Here is a 22,922-nt window from a genome sequence, read left to right on the forward strand (position 1 = left end):
AGCAGGGTCCCTGTTACCAAGGCTTGTTCACACAGGTGTGTGGGATGGCATATGTGAGGTCTCCACACCACCAAAAAGCTGCCTCAGGAAATCCAAAGGAAACATATTTCTGACACCAAGCACACAAACTCACTAGGTGCTCAATAAATGTTTATAAAATATGTTAAATGAATTCATAGAAAATAAGTCAACTTTTCCAGGGACATGTCCATACTAAATCTAAAAATGGAAAGAAATTCTATGCTGCCCAATAGAGTAGCCACTAGCGACATGCAGCTATTTAAGTTTAAATTAATTAAAATTAAATAAAATTGGCTGGGTGCGGTGGCTCACACCTGTAATCCCAGCACTTTGGGAGGCCAAGGTGGGCGGATCGCCTGAGGTCAGGAGTTCAAGACCAGCCTGGCCAACATGGTGAAACCCTGTCTCTACTAAAACTACAAAAAAATTAGCCGGGTGTGGTGGCAGGCGCCTGTAATCCCAGCTACTGGGGAGGCTGAAGCAGGAGAATCACTTCAACTCGGGAGGCAGAGGTTGCAGTGAGCCGAGATCGCACCATTGCACTCCAGCCTGGGCAACAAGACTGAGACTTCATCTCAAAAAAATAAATAAATAAATAAAACAAAAACAAAAAAAATTAAATAAAATTTAAAATTCAGCACCTCAGGTGCACCTGCCACATTTTGGGTGCTCAAAAGCCCCATCCGGCTAATGGCTATCATATTGGGTAGTGCAGATTATAGAACATTTCCATCTTTACAGAAAATTCCCTTTGATAGCACAGGTTTAGATAGAATGAATTTGAAAATCAGTAGTCAACTATGGTAGGCATTTTGTGTAGATAGAAAAACCTTCCCAGGACTTTCTGCAATCACAGTACCTTTTGGTAGAACAAGACTTGCATCAACTCTAAAAAGCAGAAGAAAAGTAAACCCTTCTTATTTCATTATTCTACTAAAGGGAAAAATCAAGCAACTCTAAACTTCTCATTTTAAGGCTATAGTGATTACTCTAGCAAATAAAGATTAAAAGATACCAAATAATTAGTAAGAATTTAAAATTACCTCAGGAACACGGCAACATTGTTATTTGAAATATATAATTTAGCACTTAAAGCGTAAAATGTTGTGTGTCAGGACATGGGCTCTTTTTGTGTAATCTATTTGGATTCGACATCCATTTTGTATGCATTTGGGAAATTTATCTGTTAACTCCTTCAAGAAATATCTAAATCCACAATAAAAAACAGAGTGGAAATATTGTAAGATATAAAGAAGAAAGAAAAAAAAATGCCCAGGAGGCAAGAGAAGAGAAAATATTTATGAATTTCTCAGCATATACATCAGATATTGCTGTTTTACACAAACAAAATTGTTCTTTCCTCCTCTATACAAGCACTCATCGAATAAGTCAAAGCCAGATTGTTTTTGTCGTCTATGTTTTTGCTTTATCCTAAGGCATAAAAAGTAGACCTAAATAGTCTTTTTTCACATGAAAATTCAAAAATTTGTTTTAAAAATCATAAACAGCAATGGTTATTATTTTGCCCTACATATTTGTATATTTAGGACATAATCATAAGATATCAATTCAAATATATAAAACCTATGATACAATAATTTTAAAATAATATATTGAGAAGGTAAGTGCACCAACAACATTCATTGAACAAATACTCACTGAAGTCCTATAATGTCCTAGGTACTGTGTTGGGAGATAAAAAAGTGGAGAAGACAGATACAGTAATTGTCTTCATGAAGCTTATATTCTCATGAGGAAGACATATAGTAAGTAGGACTGGTAGAGTTGAAAGTAGAAATTGAGTTTGCAGAGCCAAGCCCCCTCCTCTCTCCCTCCTCTTGAGAGTCAGCCTATCCACAGAAAGCAAGTGTCCTCTTTCTCTTTGTCTCCGTGAGAGGGACTAGCACCCGTGGTGGTAGCCTACAGGGGTCTAGCACAGCTGGTGAGATCTGAGTAAGTCTGCCTTATTTTCAGGTGCAGTATTCAGAAGCCCACCTGCCCGCAGATATAAGCCACCTTCTCCAGTATCAGCTTTATCAGAAATAAAGGTATTTTTGTCTGCCATCTTTCTTACTCCTTTATCTTCTCAATTGGTTGAGAATTCAGGCTGGGAGAACAAGTTATTATTTATTATGCCTCCTAATACCTAAACTAAAAGCAATAAAAGCCTTGCTACTGTCATGTTGTTGACGTTTTTATATTGCAGATTTATAATAAACTCTCCTCTTCCTGAGCTAACTTTATTGGATGCCAGTTCTTGAATCAAAATATTTATAGAGCACATAATACAGTGCAAATCAGGGCTGGCTGACACAAGGACTCTCCACGTTTCATCCTGCAGAATAATATCATTGAGGTATACTGTGAACAGAATAGCCTAGGCAGGGCCTTTACCCCAGCAGGTCACAGGCAGATGGCTACAAAAATTAGAGGTTCTAGGTTTGAAGTCTAAAACCCCCATCTGGGAACTCGCTATGGTAATGGCAACAATGCAACACTGGCACAGGGATAGAAGAGACCCATTTGTATGGGAAATTAATATATGAAAGTAGCAATTTCAAATCAGTGGGGCAAGGATGTATTTCCCAGTGAATGATGTTAGAACAAATGACCATATGAGAAAAGACAGTAATCCCCCACTACATACAAAAACATGTTCCAAATGGATGAAGGATTTAAATGCAAATAGTATACTTCTGAGATTTAAATCTAAGGAAACAAAAAAAACAAGATTTTCTGCACAATTCCATTCTCTGCAATATTTACTGCAATAGCAAAAGACAGGGACATTCTGGATGATAGGTTAATAAGTAACGCAACTAAATTACAGTGTAGCCATATAAGAGAATACTGTGCAACCGTTAAAAAGTGATATAGATCTTTATTTATTGACACAGAAAAAAATGAAATATTATTTAATTGGAAAAGCAGGTTACAGAACAGCAATTCTATTTAAAGGGGACAAATAAAACAATGTATTTAAATGGACTCATTTAAATAAAATTATCGAGTTGTGTTAGTATGCATGGAGGTGCCCGGATGAACATACATCACAATGTGAACAGTGGTCATCTCCAGATAGTAGAATTTCAGATATGTTTCTTTCCATTTTTCTGACAGTTTGAATTTTCTGTAATAATTAATTGACTTTTATACAATGGAAACAACTTTTTTGTTTTGGAAAAAAGAAAGATGCTGCCGCTAATCAGTGGATGAAAGTAAGTGATATAGTTTATTTTACATAGACGCTGATGAATATCTTGTTCCCTGCTTAGGTGAACTGGGGCTGGATAGAAAGGCAGTGAGACACAAGGAGAAACACTAAGAATCAGAAGAGTAGCTCCATATTACATGTAGGACAATGCAGCTCCGACTTTAACATGTGTTACTGTGTGGAAAAGACCTGCATTTTTTATAGAGAGCGCTTATGTCAGAATAGGAACAAAGCATTTAGGATCTAATACAAAGCTTAAAAATTTAAGAGGACAAACAAAAGCTTCCAGATTTCAAACAATCAGCCAAACTATAAGGAGTGGTGTCTAGAATTGCTTTGCTTTTCCTGCTGCACATGCATTTTTAATTAAAATAATTGCATGAGAAAGGCAATCTCCATTCTGTTTGGGCTGAAGCTCCCTTTTGGGCTCTCAAAGGAGTCCCTTTCAAATCATATTCTTTTCCATCCCCAAATATTTTTCAATTATCCAAGCCTAAGGGCTTTCAGGTTGCTAACCATCTAAAAATATGTCAAGCAACTTTAAAAAGTAAATTGTGGTGAGTATGACTCATTTAAGGATGAAAAATCTAAGTGGACATCAAGATTTTTTTTTCCAAATTTGATTTTAGGAAGCAATTTCAACACTTTTTTAAAAAGATTCAGGAAACAGTTATCCCCCCTTTCCTCTACTTTTGCAGTGTGGATGCTCCTTTCCCTGGTTATACAATTAAACCTCGTTGCTCCTATCCTAAATATCATAAAATCTGAATTAGAGAAGTCTGGTCAATGAAGTTTTATTGAATTCAAAATGCCTATCTTTTACTACTTGAAGCAAAAAACATACTTTCAGCCTTTGGGGAAAAAAAAATCAGAAACCAAGGAAACCACTGACCTTTTACTTATTATAACCTTTTATTTGTTTTTTTGCTAAGTAGTGTAAATGCTAGACTGAGACTTTACATATAAATTAATGTCTGTAGAGGATTTTTTAAAAAACTGAAGCAGTACTTCTGAGAGTTGACACAATCCAGATGATTTTTTAGGGCATTACATAATCACAAACACCTGGAGAATTGCCGTGGGTGGCTGACGAATTGTGAGTGTTATGTTTAAACTCAAGAGTTGCATGTGTCTAATTAAGTAAGAAATTTGTAATCTGAAACAGGTGTTTTCTTAAAGCACTTGACGTGCTTCTTGGTCCTGCTTCCTCTTTTCCTCCTTCTAATTCTTTCCGTGGGTCTTTACTAAATATTTTTGCTTCCTTGTCAGTTCTTATTTCCTTGTGTGTTTGTGTTTGGGGGCAGAAAGACAAAACACACAATAGTGATGAAAGAAAAGTGTCACTTGCCATGTGAAGTTTAGGAAAGGTGTACCTCAAGGAGCTATAAATTAATTCTGAAGAATTACAACGCAAGAGATAATATAGTTTGTTGTTTCTTTCTGGCTGGTATTTAGAAGGCAGAGTCTGAGTACCTCATTCAGTGTTTGGGAATAAGATGCAAGACCTGTTCTTTAAAGCAAAATGTTTATATTACAGGGAAAACTATGTTTTCCTTTAATTTCCATTTGCTTTAAAATGGTGGCTGTTTTTTTTTTTTTTTTTTTTTTGTCTACTAGTGGCTTGGTAGGAAAAAGAGAAAAACAAAACAAAACACGAGTTGAGGTCATGGCTGATGAGAGATGCCAGCAAGGAACATATTGCATAATAGAAGCTGCTAACTGGTCTTCAAGGATGTCTGAATCCATACAATTAAGGACTCAAGTTATTTTACAAAAATGTTTTCATGACTTGAGTAGAAACCGGGAAAATCACCCAATTGACTAAATTGACTCACCCAATCCCAACCCCACATACGCACCTTCACAAGTTCCAAAAGGTGGTTTTAACAAAAAGGAAAAGATAACCAACACGGTTCAGGTATTCGGCCAATGGATAAATCCGAGTATTTTAAAGCTCTACCAGGTCCTGCCTTACATTTCCCTGCCACCACCCTGCAGAAGCACCAGTGCTTCAGAGACTCCCGCCACTCTGCCCCCTGCAGGTGTGGCCCTGCCTCCAAAAACTACACCGGCTTTGGGGCTCTGGTGCAAACCTCAGGTTTGCCATTTACCAGGTTTGGTATGCAGGGTGAAGTCCCTTCACTTCTTGGAGGCTCAGTCTCCTCATGTACAGCATAGACCTGGGAGGTGAGCTCTCCGAGAGTGGTAAGGACTAAGTGAGTAATGTGTGCAAAGCACCTGGCCCATAACAGGTGATGGGTAAGTCCTAGAGTTGGCACAGCTACCACAGCTCCGTGGGCAGAGATCCCATTCGTGGATCTTCATTCACGCTTCCTGGAATAGTTCCCCCTACCCCCTCCAACAGTCTCATAGTTCACCTCCTCGCTTCACTCAGGCCTCTGTTCAAATGTTACTGCCTAAGAAAGGCCACCTCCAACCAGCCCATCTGGTCTAATTTATCAATCAATTCTGTATCCTCCAACCATGGTTTGTTTCTTCTTCCTAGCTTTTTCACCATGGGACACTATATTATGTAATTATTTGTTATTCATTTATTGTCTGTCTTCATTAAGAGAATGTAAGCCCCATGAAGGCAGGGACTTTTTTAACTTAGCTACTATGGTGCCTAGCATACAGCTGGCACTGAAGATTTGTTCAATGAATGAATGAATTGATCAATCAATCGATGGATGGATGGATGAATAGCATCTTATATTTGCATAGCATTTCAGCATTTACAAAGCATCTGATCCTGGAAATATGTGATCACCTATATATTACTGATGAAAACATCGTGGCTTAGTGAGATTAAGGTTACAGTTAACAATAGCAGAACAAAGATCTAAAACAACATTATCTGTCCCTGAGAATAAAACTACTTTCACTCCCCCACCCCCATGCTGCCTCACAAATGCTGACGGCATATTGCCAGTAACGTATGTGCTGGGAGCACAGGGCTTGTCTCAGAGGAGAAATCCCATGACAATTGCAATAGGAGCCAGAACTGCAGGGATTTCACACAGGTAACAAGGGGACTTTGCCAACTTCAATGGCTTCAGGCAAACTGGCTATTTCAGGCAAAGAAAGGGTCCTACTGCTAATATACACAAAGCTGAAAATAGGCCTCATGATTTCTGAGTGAAGGGAGTAGGTTTATGGAAGATCCCAAAGCTACAGGATCCTGAGATGAGGTGATCATGAAATCCTTCTTTGGTGTGGGTATCAAAGAGTTCTACCTACCATCTAACTACAAAGAAAAGAACAACTGACTTATTTGTCTCTTATTTTTTTACGTTGTTCCCATTCTCAAGTCTCCCAAACCTATTTTTTTCTTTCACTCTGATTAAAATTTCTGACATGGACATCAAGGTTCTATGATAATCATATTCCCAAACCTAACTACTCAAAAGAGCTGAATTACAAACTCCCTCAGAAACTTCCAGCTGCTTCTAGAACCCCAGGACCAGGCATGCCCCTTCTCCTTCAAACCCAGATCAGGAATAAATGTTTTGGGGAATCTCTTCAGACAAGCTATGCCTGGGTCGCCATGTAATCAGCAGCCCAACTTCTTAACTGGCACCACCTACATCTGGCAAAACTGTGCTCAAGATGTTCATTTCCATTGTTTTAATTTCCATGTTATACTGAAGGGGCCTGAAGGGAATGGTTTGCTAACTTCTATGACTACCCAAATTTCCACATAAACGGGTAGTCGGAACTATTGTTGCTTAAGAGAGCCCTCTGCTGACACAAATTATGTGTGCTCATTCTTTTCCTAAAATCAAACCTCACCAAACCAGACCTATGTCTCGCCAACAGATCCACTGATTACTAAATATGTCTTGTAGCACATGCATGGCGTCTCTGCTTAAAGACTGTGTGTCACTGTGGCAGGCTGCCATCTAGTCATTAAGGGATCAGCTATGTTGTGGCATAGAGGGAAGTTCTTCTGCTTAGTACAGTCTCCAGTTAAAAGTTGTTAAGGCAGATGCCTAAGAATGAAGTGCCTGAAAACACTTGTTTGCACATATGGTCTTGGGCAGGTTTGGGACTCACAGGGGTCTTACAGAGGAAGAGGTTTCAGAGACTCATGTCGATTTTCCTTTTAATATTTTGTTAAAATTTCATTATAACAATATTTAATTAAGCAGCTGACACCTTTTTATGGGTACGTTATTATTATGATTCCCTGATTCAATTCACTGTAGATTTAATTTCTCAAACTTTGAGTGAGTGTGATCATTGAACTTGATGTTATTGGGCCCCAGGCCCCAGGATTTTGGACATCAAGAAGCAATAAAACATTTTAAAATAAAGGGGTCTGAGAGAGGGATGCCAATTTTTTGCCTTCCTTAGTCTTTTAAAAATAAAAGTTAAATTTTGGAATAATTTTTAAGTTTACATAACAATTGTAAAGATAGTATGGAGAGTCCACCCAGCTTCTCCTGCCATTAACATATTATATAACCTCAGAACATTTGCCAAGACTAAGAAACCAATGTTGATACACTGCCATTAACTAAAGTATATCACTTATGTGGCTTTCACCAGTTTTTCTATGAATATCCATTTTTGGTTCAGGATCCATGTCATCATGTCCCCTTGGTTTCTTCCATCTGTGACAGTTTCTCACTCTTTCCTTGTTTTTCATGAGCTTGATAATTTTGAAGAGTACTGGTGAAGTATTTTATAGAATACTCCTCAATGGTGGGTGGGGGTGCCAACTTTTAAATTCAGATTGTGAAAGGTAAAAATTATCTACTATGGTCATCATTTCATAAAAGAAAGGCCATTCTAACAACCAAAAAAAGGAAGAATAGCAATATCTGAATAAAGAACAGTCTTTTAAATAAAATAAATTTATCTCTAGGAAAAGGCCCACTACTTTGCTAATCATTCCTCCCTCCCCTTTCTTTTTCTTTCTTTCGTTCTGGCCCACCCAAGATAAAATGTCATTACAAACTCACAAACAGGAAGTCAGGAATCACCTAGAAGGAACACAGTGGTCATTGCTTCCATACCTTCAGGGAGCTACCACTCTAGCAGAAGATAAACCACTAAAATATGCAGACAAGAGAAATGAAAGCTAAAGAGAAGTACAAGCAAATCTAGAAGAAAGATTGATTGTGACAAAGATTCCAGAGGAATGAGGGAGTAATTCGTGGAGGAGGAATCCTCCCAGGTGGGTCTTAAAAAGAAGAAATTTGGGGGAAAAAATTAAGGTAGGGTGGGGAGAAAAGGTATACAGAAAGAGGGAAAAATTAGGTTGTAGTAAGTTATAAGCGACTGAAACATGAATTTATTATCATGTTACTACTAGATCATGAACAGTGTTGCAGCTATAAGAAGTAAGGTAAATGATTGTCCTTAAATAGCCAGGTACAATCAACCTAACCCATTTCCTCATTATACTGGAAGTTCAGAGGACAAGTGAGAGCACTATTTTGGACTTACAGATAGGAAAATTCAGATCCCTGGACCATGAAAGCATAGGTCCCACAGTAAGTGAGTGGCAGAAGGAGTATGGGGTGTTTATTCATAGTTTTATGGTCTATGTCACCTGCACAATCTCATTTCTAATGGTATTAAAAATCTTTTAATCATCTGAATGTGTCAAAGTATTGAGAAAATATCAGATATATAGAAAGGGAACTTTGTTCCAGAAGGAGTGGTAGCAAAAAAGAGTGGACAAATGTGGGCCTGGGATCATATGGGCCCACCAAATCTTGCTCTGTATGGCCTGTGTGAACTTCGCAAGTCACCGCCTCCCTGAACCTTAGTTTCCTCATGTGTAAAATGGGGGAGATAACAATTTTTACTTTTCAAGATTGTTTTGAGGCTTACAGGTAACGTATCAACATATGAAGCTTCTCATATATCAGTAGTTAATACTGTTGCATGGCAAATTTCCTTCAAGTTTAATCCTGTGTAGTCAGGCCTGTGATTCTAAGAGTCTGTTGATTGGATGACTCTGAAGCAGCTTTGTTAATAGTGTGGACAATTTGCATGAAGCTTTTTATCATTTAATGATCTATGTTAATTTACTTTGGACTTATTTCTCGTTTCACTTGAAAAGCTTTATTTTATATTTGGTGATATAAAATAATGTTTTAATGATTGGCTTATAGTCTTTATTACATTTCCCCCCACTCAATTTTTCTTTCTTTCTTTCTTTCTTTCTTTTTTTTTTTTTTTTTTGAGACAGAGTTTCACTCTTGTTGCCCAGGCTGGAGTGCAATGGTGTGATCTCAGCTCACTGCAACCTCCACCTCCTGAGTTCAAGCGAATCTCCTGCCTCAGCCTCCCGAGTAGCTGGGATTACAGGCGCCCACCACCACGCCCAGCTAATTTTTTGTATTTTCAGTAGAGACGGGGTTTCACCATGTTGGCCAGGCTGGTCTTGAACTCCTGACCTCAAGTGATCCACCTGCCTTAGCCTCCAAAAGTGCTGGGATTACAGGCGTGAGCCACCGCGCCCAGCGCACCCCGGCCCCCCACCCCCCCAACACTCAATTTTTCTACTTAAAAACTCTTGGAATGTAGCCTTTAAGACATGAATGGTTTTTGTTTGTAATTGCAATGTGGTGTGGGTAGGATGTATAGGGAAATTTGTTGGGAATTTATTTGGACTACTTTCAAAGAATATTTCAGTTAAATTTCTACTCTCCCTCATGTGACCTACGCTTGTTAACACAGACGAGGCTTTAATTCTTTGCTGTGGGAAGTGGCCTGTGCACTGTAGGAGGTTTGGCAGCATCCCTGGCCTCTACCCACTAGATGGCAGTAGCACTCCCCAGTTGTGACACTCAGAAATGACTACAGAAATTGCAAATGAGTCACTTCTTGGGCTTTTGGCTAAGATCAAATGTAGAAATTGCCATATGACCCAGATGGACAAATCACCTCCAGTTGAGAACCACTGACATAGACAGCACTCCACAAAAAGCAGAACTTTTAGGCTAAAGATGGTTTTATTTTAACGTGATTGTGTTAAGTTGACAGTTTCAGGATGTGAAATATTGTTCATTCATCTATAGCTAGAGATCAAGCTTGGGCTTCGAAGCTTGGGCCTTCCCCAATAATGGCCCAACCTAAAATTTTAGACCCTATAATACTCCTCCACCTCCCATCCTTCCACATCCCATTTGTAAGCCCGATTAGATGACTCACTGTTTCTACTATATCCCCATACCGCGACTTTCACCTTTACCTCCACTATCCAGAGAGTCAAATCTTACTTATTGGTTAAGGCCTTACTAAATGGGCAAATTTTCCCTGAAGCCCTCCCAGATCCTTCTGTTAGAAGGGATAGCTTCTGCCTCAAAACATGAAACTTCTTCAACTATACCCATCTTGTTCCTCCTTAATTATTTTCTAACTTTCATGCAATTTGAAAGTCCTCTGCCTCCACTTCTAAACTCATGAGTGCACTCACTATTTTAATATCCTTTCAGCTAGGCAATGTGTTGTGGAGGAGAAAGTTATGCTTTTGATTTAAGGCACTCCTAAATCTCATGCGCCCCTCTAATGGTGCACAGATGTTTTCTAGAGAAAGTCCTCATCCCCATTACACAATGGCATATATTATTAGCTTATCTGGTTGACAGGAATAGAACACAGGTAAGGTTCACTTTATCTGGAGAGGGCAAACCCAAGTAGGAGGCCTCAGCAAGAGTTCCTGGAGAACAAGTGATCATCAGGACCTTCACTAACCATGAGGGCACAGTTCATCTTTAAATATCTGAATGGCTGGTATGCGAAGAAGAAATTTTGAAAACATGAATTTCTTAAATAATTAACAAATACAACTGAACATTCTAAAGGTACAAAGAGAAAAAAAGGGTTCAGCGAAAACCAATAATCTTGTCCACAACTTTCCCTTGTCACCCGCTAACCTTCCCTAGAGGTCACATTACAAGTTTCTTGGGGATCCTTTCAGAGATAATCCAGGCAAGTCTATGAATAAAGGTGTAAATGGAAACAACCCAAGTGTCCACCAATGGATGACCGGATAACAAAATGTGGTCTATCCATACAATAGAATATCCATACGATACAATAGAATATTAGTCAGGCATATAAAGAAATATATATGCTACAAACTGAATGAACCTTGAAAACATTATGCTAAGTGAAAGAGACCAACCACAAAAGGCCACATACCATATGATTCCTTTTATATAAAATAGTCAGAATAGACAAATAAATAGAGACAGAAAGTGTGGTTCCTAGGAGCTGGAGGAAGGAAGAATGAGAAAAGACTGATAATGAGTTCAGGTTTACTTTCTGGGCTGATGAAAGTGTTCTGGAATCAGCAGTGATGGTTGTGTAATCCTATAAGTACATAAACCACTACTTTTTAAAAAGCTTTGTAAATACATATTTGTACCTGTTATGATGTGTTCATTTTCTCTTTAAACACCATCTTCTTTGGGTACTATAACATGTATTTTGTAATTTTATTTTATTTGCATCAGGATAGTCTGTAGAAATAATCATTCATTATAATAATCCATCTTCCCCACAATAAACTTGGCAATAAGCCATTTAAAAAAGAAAAAAGGCATAGTTTTTGCTTTTTATATAAATGCTACACTATGCCACAAGAATTGTGCACCTTGCCTCTGTCACTTTCCAAATATCATCAAGATTGTTCTATATTAGGACCTATCAAGCCATGTCATTCTCCTTAATGACTGCATGGTAAGCCATGCTATTGGACACATATATTTAAAGTACTGGTTCTCAGCCAGGGGTGATTTTGCCCTCTCTCACACCCCCAGAGGACAGTTGACAATGTCTGGAGACTTTTTTTTATTGTCACAACTGGGTGTAGGCAGATGCAATTGGCACCGAGTGGGTAGAGGCCAAGGACGTTGCTAAACATCCTGCAATGCGTGGAACAGCCCCCCCATAGCAAAGAATTATGCATCCAAAAAGTCACTAGTTGTGGAGGTTAAAAAAAACAATCTAAACAGTTTATGATTGACGAATATTTAAATTGGCTACAATATTTGTCTTTATAGATAATGCTGCATAACATTCCATCTTTCAAATATATAATTTTCTTATAGATAATTTCTAGATATATAATTATTCCTCTACTATTTTGAATACTTTTTTATTTTTATTTATTTATTTATTTATCTATTTTTGAGACAGAGTCTTGCTCGTTGCCCAGGGTGGAGTGCAATGGCGCAATCTTGGCTCACTGCAACCTCCGCCTCCCAGGTTCAAACGATTCTCCTGCCTCAGCTTCCCAAGTAACTGGGATTACAGGCGCCTGCCACCACACCCAGCTAATTTTTGTATTTTTAGTGGAGACAAGGTTTCACCATGTTGGCCAGGCTGGTCTCGAACTCCTGACCTCATGATCCGCCCGCCTCGGCCTCCCAGAGTGCTGGGATTACAGGCGTGAGCCACCGCGCCCAGCCTCTGTTTTTTATTTTTTAAAAACTGTACCAGAATAAACATTTGTTAATAAGCCTTTCTTCTTACTTTGGATTTTTCCCATAAATAGAGTCATAGAAGTAGGGTTACTGGGTTAAAGGAGAATAACTTTTTTCTAGGGAATTATATCGGGTTCTTACTGCCATTATGAATACGATGCTTTCCCCTGTTAAAAGAAAACTTCGGACAAATTAAATTTAACAGAGTTTAACGGACCAAGAAAAAAAAATGATTAGCAGATCTGGCAGTCTCCAGAATCACAGCAGATTCAGAGAGACTCCAGGGATGCCACGTTGTCAGAACAAATTTATAGACAACAAAAGGAAAGTGACATACAGAAATCAGAAGTGAGGTACAGAAACAGCTGGACTGGTTCAAACAAGTGTTTGCCTTGTTTGAACACTCAGCAGTGTATGAGTGGTTGAAGTATGGCTGCTGGGATTAGCCAAGACCCAGCTATTGTTACAGGCACATACTTCTAAGTTAGGTTTTCAATATTGTCTATCTATTAATTTAGGTTATGGTGCGTCCACAAGGACTCAAATATAGAAATACAGAGTCCTTCTCAAGCCATATTTAGTTTGCTTTAACACCACCATTACATCTGATTATTGCTTTTAAGCAGGAGAATTATTGATTTTTCATAGTTATTTTATATCCAGCCATTTACTAATAGGTTTTGGTTGACATTCTTAGTACAGTGGTGCCAAGGGGTGTCTTGAGAGTAGAGGTGGCTTTAGCTTCCTTCTTATATCTGTTACCTTCACTCTCAAATCATGCCAAATGAATATATATGCTAAGATTTGTGTGCTTCACTGTAATCACAACTTCAGGACAAATCCTGAGCCTTCCTCCCTCCTCCAGTCATATCAACAACCAAAGCCACATTAAGCCACTGTGAGTTTCATTCTTATTTTATTACCTACAAATAATTTTTCTCCTCCTTTCCAACACTGTAACTCTTACTTATTAATAGCTTCAAAGTTTCCAGAACCATATTAAACTGTGATGGTACTGGTAGACAGTCTTGTCTTCTTTCTCATATTAATAGGAATATAGCTAATATCTCAGTGTTAAATATAACAAAAGATGCTCCCTGAACAATAGAGAGTCTTTATGATATTGAAAAAGTATCCTTTCCCGGTTTTCCAAAATGGATGTTGAATTTAATCAAGTTTTTTTTTTCAGCCTTGATGGTAGGGTTTGCTTTTGAAAGTGGTGCACAGCAAGCTAGAAAAAAAAAACAGGCTATGTGGGAGGTGGGAGGTTTGAATCGGGTCATAAGTTTTAGGTGTGAATCACCAGGACCTTTCCCTTCCTCTCCTGGGTATTGTTCAGGCATTGCACGCAAACACTGTCGGCTACCAACAAGTAATTATGAGCGTGGCTTTTCTGATGGACACACCCTTGGAAACAGGGTGGTTTTGTTCTCGTGAACAAAATCAAAGAACTTGCTGAGGCTTGTAGTGAAAAAATTTTAAAAACACTTCTCAGCCTAACTGAGAACACAGTAGACAAGGCCATCCTAAAATGTCCCTGAAAAGCAGGCAGGATGGTTTTCTCCTAATAGTTCCTAAGTTTAATTAAACAGGAGTGACCAGTCATCTCAGTTTGCTAAGGACTGAGAGGTTCCTGGGGACAGGAGCCTTTCAGTGCTAAAACCTGAAAAGTCCAGAGGCTATCATTTAAGGATGATTTCAAAAGGCACAACACATGTTTCTTCCTAAGGTAGGTGAGAGGTTCATCAACGGAGTCCGATCTATAAGTACCTCCTTTTTCGAGCTAAACTTTAGCGGGACTTTCCCATGTCTCTGATTGTTCTTTGTTTCTGATAACTGAAGTTGCCCTAAACAAATCACAATATCAGGCCTGACCAGAAACAGGGTAAATGCAGAAGTATTTCACCTTTTACCACTCAGGCCTTTTGAAAAACAATCCTCCCCAGAAAACAAACTCCTGGTAGGAAAAACTGAATGCATTTCTCCTTTTGTGTTGTGACCACCAGCTGTGCCTCTTCCCTAGAGTACGCCTTCTCAATTTTCAGGCAAATTTTTAATAGAAAATATATAGCTATTCAAACCTAAGAGTTAAGTTTAAAAATGGCTTAGCCATTAACCCAGTAAAATTGGGTTCTCTCTCTTACTTATCTCATAGAATCGTATTTCTGATTTGGAAGATCTAGACCAGCATTTCTCAAATTTTAATGTGTATATCAATCATTTGATGATGTAGAAATGTAGATTCTGATCCAGAGCTCTGAAGTGGAGACTGAGGCTACAAATGATAACACTGCTGGTTCATGGGTCACACCTGAGATAATGAGAATTTTATAGAATAATATTTTCCACATTTCTTTGATCATGTATCACTACCAGTTAAAATAAATGTGAGTGTGCACTCAAAATATGTATATTAGTTACATTTTATACTCATGTGTTAGTAAAATTTCATTTTTATTAAAAAATAAATAAATGGGAGCTCCAGCACATCACTATTTTGAGGACCTTGATCCTGATAACACATCAAGTATGTGACCATTCAGTACATGCTTATGTTGTTCCAGTGCATGCTTATATTAGTTATTCTATCTTTGCATAACTAATTGTTACAAAGTTCTTCCTTCTATTTTGTATCTATGCTTTGTATTCAAAAGTTTACCTCTGAAGGCATACAAAACAAGCCCAATCCCTCTTAACACTATTGCAATTCCTATCACTGAAAATGATCTGACTTCCTTAATATATGAAGACCTTCTATAAAATAATAAAAAGAATACCAGCAACCCAGCAGGAAAAAAAAAATCCAAGAATATTAAATATGTATGGTGAATGAATGTTTTAAAATGAAAACAAAATCAATCTCGCTCAAATAAGAGAAATATAAATTAAAACTATCATAAAGCATTATTTTTCACTTGTAAAAATGGCAAAGGTCAGAAAAGTCGAATAAATACATTTATGTTGCTGATGTTGAGGGAAAACAGGAACCTTCAGAACACATCACTGTGGTGATATCAGTTGGTACAACCATCATGGCAGATGCTTAATGAGGCCATTAAAATTAGTTTTTTAAATAATATTTTTTAAATGCTTATAGTATAATACTAAGCTAACAAAAAGATGCAAAACATAGTGTGGTACCAGAAAAAAAGTACTGAATGAAAATATATCAAAATAAAAACAATAGCTATTTCTGGATGGTGAGCTAACATCACAGGTGATTCTAAATTTGTTCTTTATCCTAGTCAGCATTTTCAAAATGTACAAGCCTGTATAATTTAGAAAATGCTCCAGGGAGGTGATGAGAGAGTACAAGTGGGGCTGGCTTTAAATTTCAGCCTTTTAAAGCTCACATTAAGAGATAATGGCTTACCACTTGAGTCTCTGGCTTACCTACACTCCTGAGGAAAACTGATACAGTTGATTCTCATCATTTTTATAGAAAAAATGTTCTATATAGTTGCCATGATCACTGAATTAGAGAATACTAGACCATTGCTCCTAGGATAAATACAGGATTGTGTTCCTGCAAGCCTCTGGTCACAATATTTTGCTCAGTTGATCAATACATGACTTTGTTTTATGTTTATTTCTCTTTAAAGACACCTTATTTAACAAATATTGTTGATTAATTAACATTGAACTCTAGGCCAAGAGTGTTACAACTCATACCTGAATAAAGTTTATCTAAGACAGATATTTTCTCCGTAAGGCACATTTCAGCCTTCTTACACTTAGGAACACTAGACAGCATTAGTGTATTGTGTGTGGGAGCCATTTTAAACAGTGAAATTACCCACACAAAGCACAAAAGGTGGACAAAGTGGCACTAAATACACTGTGAAAGGTCACTTTCTTGTGAAACAAGAAAAAAAGAGCATCGCTTCATTCAACCTCAGCTGGGAATGTGTGCATTGGGCAGCTCAAATTTTTTGCCACTCTACACATGCCCACAAATTACTACAAAAGCACCACAGGTACTGATTTGGGGGTTACAAATGAATTTTAGCAAGTAAATGAACTGACAAATAATTACAGTTACAGTTTTAAAGAAAATTCTTAAAAGAGCCAAACATTAATATTCTACAGCTGCACTCCTTGAGGGAGTTGCTTAAAGCTGAGTACCTTATAATTTATAAAGTATTCCCCCCCCCCCAGAAAGCATTTTCCATAATGGAAATCAAAGTAATATATTTAATCATTCATTTTATTTAATATATTCATTGTCTTCAACTTTTTATTATCCAATTAAATTCAGCCAGTAGTTACTATCTCCACACAGAGAACACAGAGAATGATCTCAGCTGAAGCAATTTATGATCCTCTTGGGTATGTGAGGGGAGGTTGAGGCAATCCCCAATTCTAATGCAAGACAGATAGAATACAATCAAGGTCATCAAAAAGGCATAATGTGCATGAGACTGGTAAAAATATAATGCGATGAGGACCAAATGAAGGAGAAAGTGCATCCTCTTGGGATTGTCTGCAAAATTTGATGGAGCTGGTGATATCCGAAAAGACCTTGAAGGATTAGTAAGGTGGTAAGTGGAGCTATGGGATGGAGCACACAAGAAGTAGCTCGAGCAGGAGCACAGAGTGGAGACATCTTCCAGGAACAGGGTCAGAATCCAGTATGAGTGTAGGGTAGGTGAAAGGAATGGCTTCCATTATTGCTGCAAAGCAAGCCACAGCGCCTTCAACGTGTTAGCAGAGAAGGGAACTGGAAGGCGAATGGCTAAATGAGGAAGGGAAAAGAGTCCAACTACCCTGATCCTACTTCCAGAAACTTCTTGGTTCATTATCCCTTTACACTGTGGTGGTGCCCTTTCCCAAACATCTTTAACCTCCTTAACTAGACTGCATATGAGGCAAGCAGGGATCATGCCTCACCCTTCTTTAGCCTCCCTCCCTCTGCCTTCTGCTCACACTTCCCAACACACAACACACCCTAACATACAAAAGATCACCCTACACCAACGCCTGCATATCGCCAGCCTTCAATAAATATTTACTCATTCACTAATTGGGTTTATAAACACACTGAGCCTTTAACAAGCCCTGGTCTCTTCCCTACTAATGCAGGTTGTTCTGGTGAGTAGATGGTTAAACATTGTAACTAGGAAGTAACGATCCCTGAGCTTCCACAGAATATATGTGTGTGGACAATGAGAATCTTTGAAAGTGCCACAATATTATGTTACACATTTTATTTCTGTATCTAACTAAAGCTGAATATTAAGTGTTCAGTAGAATCTCTAAATTTTGCAATTAAACTAGTAAATGTATATGTATGTCCTTAAAATCCTAATTTTTAGGCTATGTTATATTTGGGCCCCTTGATTCTATAATTCCTTAGAAGTTAGTATAAATACTCTTGTAGTTCTTAGATTGTTTTTTGGAGTTTATAATATTACAGGAGGTTACACACATCTGAACATTCTTGGATAGAAACAAGATAGAAACAGGTTTTTTTCTTTCTTTTTTTTTTTTTCTAAGACAAGGTCTCACTCTGTTGCCCAGAATGGAGCGTAGTGACATGATTAGAAACAGGTTTTCTATATAAAAAAGTATTTTAATCACAAATAGTTTATTCTATCCCCAATGAATTATTTTAATTACAAAAATATTTTAATAAGCCAACTTATTAACTGCACAAATAGGAATGTTTTTGGTGGCATAAATTCAAAGAATACTAAAAACAGTAAATATTTAAATTTGAGTATATCTTATGTAAAATAGCCTGCAACTTATAAATGAATTTTTAGCCTATTATTTATTGCTTTTAAAATTGAATTTTCTATTAGAAGAAAGAGGTATGTTTCAAAATACACACTTCTGCAGTCAAATTATTGTACTTACTGTTTCAAAACCTCGATGTGGATGATCAGGAAATCCTCCTGGTCTACCTCCTTTAAATTCATCAAACAGTAAAAACGGATCCAGATTTTTTAACTGAAATAAAAATAAAATTTGCAGATTAGATATGTCTTTTAAGCCATACTACCAGGGGCTACATTTATGAACAGATCTAGCAAGCCTCATTGAAAACTACATAGCCAATGGGCAACTTTTTACAATGAAAATTGCTTTCAGGAAGAACTTCTTATACACACTGATATGGTTTGGCTCCGTGTCCCCACCCAAATCTCATCTTGTAGCTCCCATAATTCCCGTGTGTTGTGGGAGCAACTCAGTGGGAGATGACTGAATCATGGGGACAGGTCTTTCCTGTGCTGTTCTTGTGACAGTGAATGGGTCTCACGAGATCTGATGGTTTTAAAAATGGGAGTTTCTCGGCACAAACTCTTTTTTTTTGCCTGCTGCCATCCATATAAGATGTGACTTGCTCCTCCTTGCCTTCCACCATGAATGTGAGGCCTCCCCAGCCACATGGAGCTGTTTGAGTCCAGTTAAACCTCTTTCTTTTGTAAATTGCCCAGTTTCAGGTATGTCCTTATCAGCAGCATGAAAATGGACTAATACACACACACACACAAGGATTTACGGATTGTGTTAGAGAGTTGTCATTTTATGAGAAGCGCAAAGAGTGGACAAACATTTCATAATCATCTAAGATATAAATAGTCAAGTATAAACAAGATGTATTCTGTATCCTAAACAGATTCATAATCTTACAGGGGAACAGACTAGAAAATCAATTATTGCAACAAGATGATAAATGCTTTGGAGGAAGACAATTTTACACATATGAGAGTGGGAAGGGATCAAAGAAGGTCAGAAAACTCAGGAATATGGCACTTAATCTCTGTCTTGAAGTACATGGTTGAGTTAATCAAGTAGATGGGAGAAAAAGAGAAGGAAAGATATTCCAGGTAGAAAAGCAGAAAAACAGCTTGGCATGCTTGAAGAACTAAGGGATACTAATCTGTTGGGGCAAAAGATGCATATGGAATTATGAGATACATGGGCAGACGATGGAGGACAAGTCCTAAATGAGTTTGGATTTTATCCTGAAGGTGATGGGAGTTTTCATCAGAGTTTGATATGATCAGATTTAGAAGGATCACTCTGTGGTAAAGGAAGACAGGAAACAAAGAATATCTAGAAGGTTATCTCAAATAGTCTGAGCAAAGGCAAAGGCCAGAACTAAGGCAATGGCAGTAGTGATGGAGAGTGGTTGAGTGACTGGGTAGATATTTATGAGACAAAAAGGAAGAGCATTAACTGACTCCCAAATTTTTAACTATGGTATCTGGGAAGATGGTAGGGCCATTCAGCACTTAAAGAACATAATAGAAGAAGCTGCCTTGAAATAGCTATGATGACTTCATTTTAGGTCATACTGAATTTGATATATCCATATAAATGTTATCTGTATAAATAGAACTATTAAGTGCACATTATATTATGCAAAGGCTAGCAGACAACTAAAGATCAATCTCAAGCTCAAATGAGAGGTAGAAACATATCTGGTTGTCATCAACATATGTTTGTGATTGTCTTGCTTATTCTTGACCATGTTATTTTATATAAATTTTAGGAAATTTATCAAATTCTATGAAGAAAAATTTTGAACATTTGATTGGAATTAGTTTTAATCTATGGATCAAATTGTGAAGAACTGACATTTATATAATATTTAGTTTTCCTCAATGTTTCCTCAATAGAACCATGGTTATCCCCATTTATTTAGGTCTTTAAACATATTTCAATAAGGATTTGCAATTCTCTCCATAAAGGTCTTACATATTTTTAAAAATTATTTTTCTAGCTAACTTGTATTTTTAATGGAATTCTACTGCAAACAGCATTTACACATTATATTTTGAACAGTTTGCTGCTGGAAATTAGACATGCGCTAGGCAATTTTTGAACCCTGCTAAGCTCTTATTAATTTTAATGATTCATCTGTAGCTTCTTTTGGGTTTTCTTTGTAGATGTTCATATCACCAGTGTATTTATCAATAAACTTTTGCTTAATAGTTCACACACAAAAAAATTGTCTTGCATTGGATTAAAGCCGTGGCAGACTGCAATTTCTCTGGGTTTTTATGGGCCTGGCTGGCCTTGACATGTCTTCTCACTCTGGGATTCAAGCTGAAACAGCGGCCACTATGGAGGGCATTATGTTCTCATAGCCAAGGTCAGGAGCAAAAAGCAAGGCAAGTCAACCATTCACAATCACATTAACACATCCCATTGGTCAAAGCATGTGACATGGCCAAGCCCAAAGTCAGGGAGGAGGGCACTTAATCGCTCCCTATGTGTCTCATGGGTAATGTACCTAAAAATGGATGCGGGTGTAAAATCCTATTATAGAGAAGGAATGAATATTTGGTAGTAACATTTCGACCAACAACCATTAGCAAATAAGAAGGGATTTTTTTTTCATTTTCAATCGTTATATTTTCCATTTCTTTTTCTTGTATTTTTACAAGCGAGCATCTCTACAACAGTCTTGAGTAGAAATGGTGGTGGTAGACATCCTTGTCTTCTCCCTGATTTTACATAGATTGCTTTATAAAGTTTTATTGGTAATCTGGTTGTTTAATGCAGGTGTTTTATAGATTCCCTTCATAAGGTTAAAGAGTTTCCCTTCTACTTCTAGTTTACAAAGTTGTTGTTTTTTAAACATGAATGGATGTTGAATTGTCGAATGTCTTCTCCACACCATTGAGACACTTATATGATTTTTTCTCCTTTAACCTCTTAATGTTAATAAAATACACAAATAGATTTTCTAACATTAAACCAAATTTGCTCTCCTCAGATAATCCAAATTTGGTCATGATATATTATCTTTTAATACATTGTTGAATTTGGTTGGTTAATTTTCTATGATTCTTGCAAACATTCTCATAAATGTGATGTAATTATTCTTTCACTGGCTGTCCTCGTCTGGTCCTGATAGCAAGGTAATGTCAGCTTCATGAAGTGATTTGAGGAGCACTTCCTTGGATTTTATCCCCTGGAGAGTTTGTGCATTATTAGAATTACTTACACCTTAAATATTTTGTAAAATTTGTCTATAAAATCTTCTGGTCCTGCTGTCTTTGTTATAAACTTTTAAAGTATTCATTCGATTACCATTATGGCTATGAAACTATTCAGATTTTCCATTTTTTCTTTCTTTCTTATTGTTTTATACTCTAAGAGTTTCAGCAACCTCTTGGCAGCTCAGCTAATTAATTTTAAGTTATTTATCTCAGGATGTCTACTCTGTCATATTACTAGAAATTAAAGTATGAAACTTTCTCATTCTCCGGTTTTATCTTTATTTTAACTTTCTATGAAAAAAACATGCACACATATATACATAACATATACATTATACATATATATATAAATTCAACAAGCTACTGCAAGTTTTTTAACCTAACCAATTCTCAATTTCTTCATTTGAAAATGTGGACTGCAACCCATATAAAGCTGGGGCACTTTGTAGCCTATCTCAACCTGGTGTTTCATCCAGTCCAATATTTAAAAGTAATTGAAAATAAATTCAAATTATTTATTGAATCCTCTCAAAAACACCAAAAGAGGCTTCAATTTAAAGATATGCTTAAAATCCCTCTTACCCCTCTCCATGTATATATCTGTCTCCCATGATTCCATTTTCTCTCACTCTAACTCTTCAAATCACTTCAAACCATCAGAAGACACCTCTTTCCTTTTCTCCTCTCCTCTCACCTTCTGTATTTACTCTTTTCTCTTCCACTAGTAAGTCTCTGCCCTTTCCAGTGAAAATCAACCAAGCAAATTTGTTTCCTTTCAGTCTTGTCATTCATTTTTCCACATCAGCTTATTAAAAGTCCAGGAACAGAACTGGGATTGGTAGAAGGAGAGGTTGAGAATTCTCATACCTTATTATACATTGCTTTCTCCTCACATGATAATATATACCTTGGAAGATTATAAGGATTGAAAACAATGAATGTAGCACACCTGGTCCAGTGCCCAAAGCACTGTAGGTTCTACATAGATGGGTGGTATCTATTATACTGCACCAGTCCTATAAATATCACAGCCATCACTTCCCTAGGTACAAAACAAAGTGTTTGAAGCTCTAAGATAACTTTTAAATTCTGTGTTGTTGTGGTTCTATTAAAATATGGGTAAAGACAAGATAAAGAAATACTTATTGTTTCTTTGTATCGAAGAGTTTTATATGAGCAAATATGCCCTGCTGTCAAACTGTGAAAACCAAGAGGTTCTCTCTTTTTAGTCCTACCCTTATCACCATCCACCACCCTCAGAACAGTAGTTATTCATTGTTA

General features: G+C 37.3%; 1 protein-coding gene and 1 long non-coding RNA gene across 3 annotated transcripts in view; both read right to left on the reverse strand.

Annotated features, from left to right (window-relative positions):
- PIR-FIGF (PIR-FIGF readthrough) overlaps positions 1–22,922 on the reverse strand; it is a 145,719-nt gene that overhangs the window by 115,595 nt on the left and 7,202 nt on the right. Inside the window, exon 2 of the long non-coding RNA NR_037859.2 lies at positions 18,544–18,636. This is a non-coding gene — a long non-coding RNA (PIR-FIGF readthrough). The remainder of the gene's footprint in view (positions 1–18,543; positions 18,637–22,922) is intronic.
- Positions 1–22,922, reverse strand: part of PIR (pirin) — a 108,535-nt gene that overhangs the window by 76,387 nt on the left and 9,226 nt on the right. For both annotated transcript variants that reach the window (NM_001018109.3, NM_003662.4), the window contains exon 3: positions 18,544–18,636. In NM_001018109.3, coding sequence (NP_001018119.1) covers positions 18,544–18,636 — 93 coding nt within the window. The remainder of the gene's footprint in view (positions 1–18,543; positions 18,637–22,922) is intronic.

The sequence above is a fragment of the Homo sapiens genome, chromosome X (assembly GCF_000001405.40).
Source record: "Homo sapiens chromosome X, GRCh38.p14 Primary Assembly".
Classification (NCBI taxonomy): domain Eukaryota; kingdom Metazoa; phylum Chordata; class Mammalia; order Primates; family Hominidae; genus Homo; species Homo sapiens.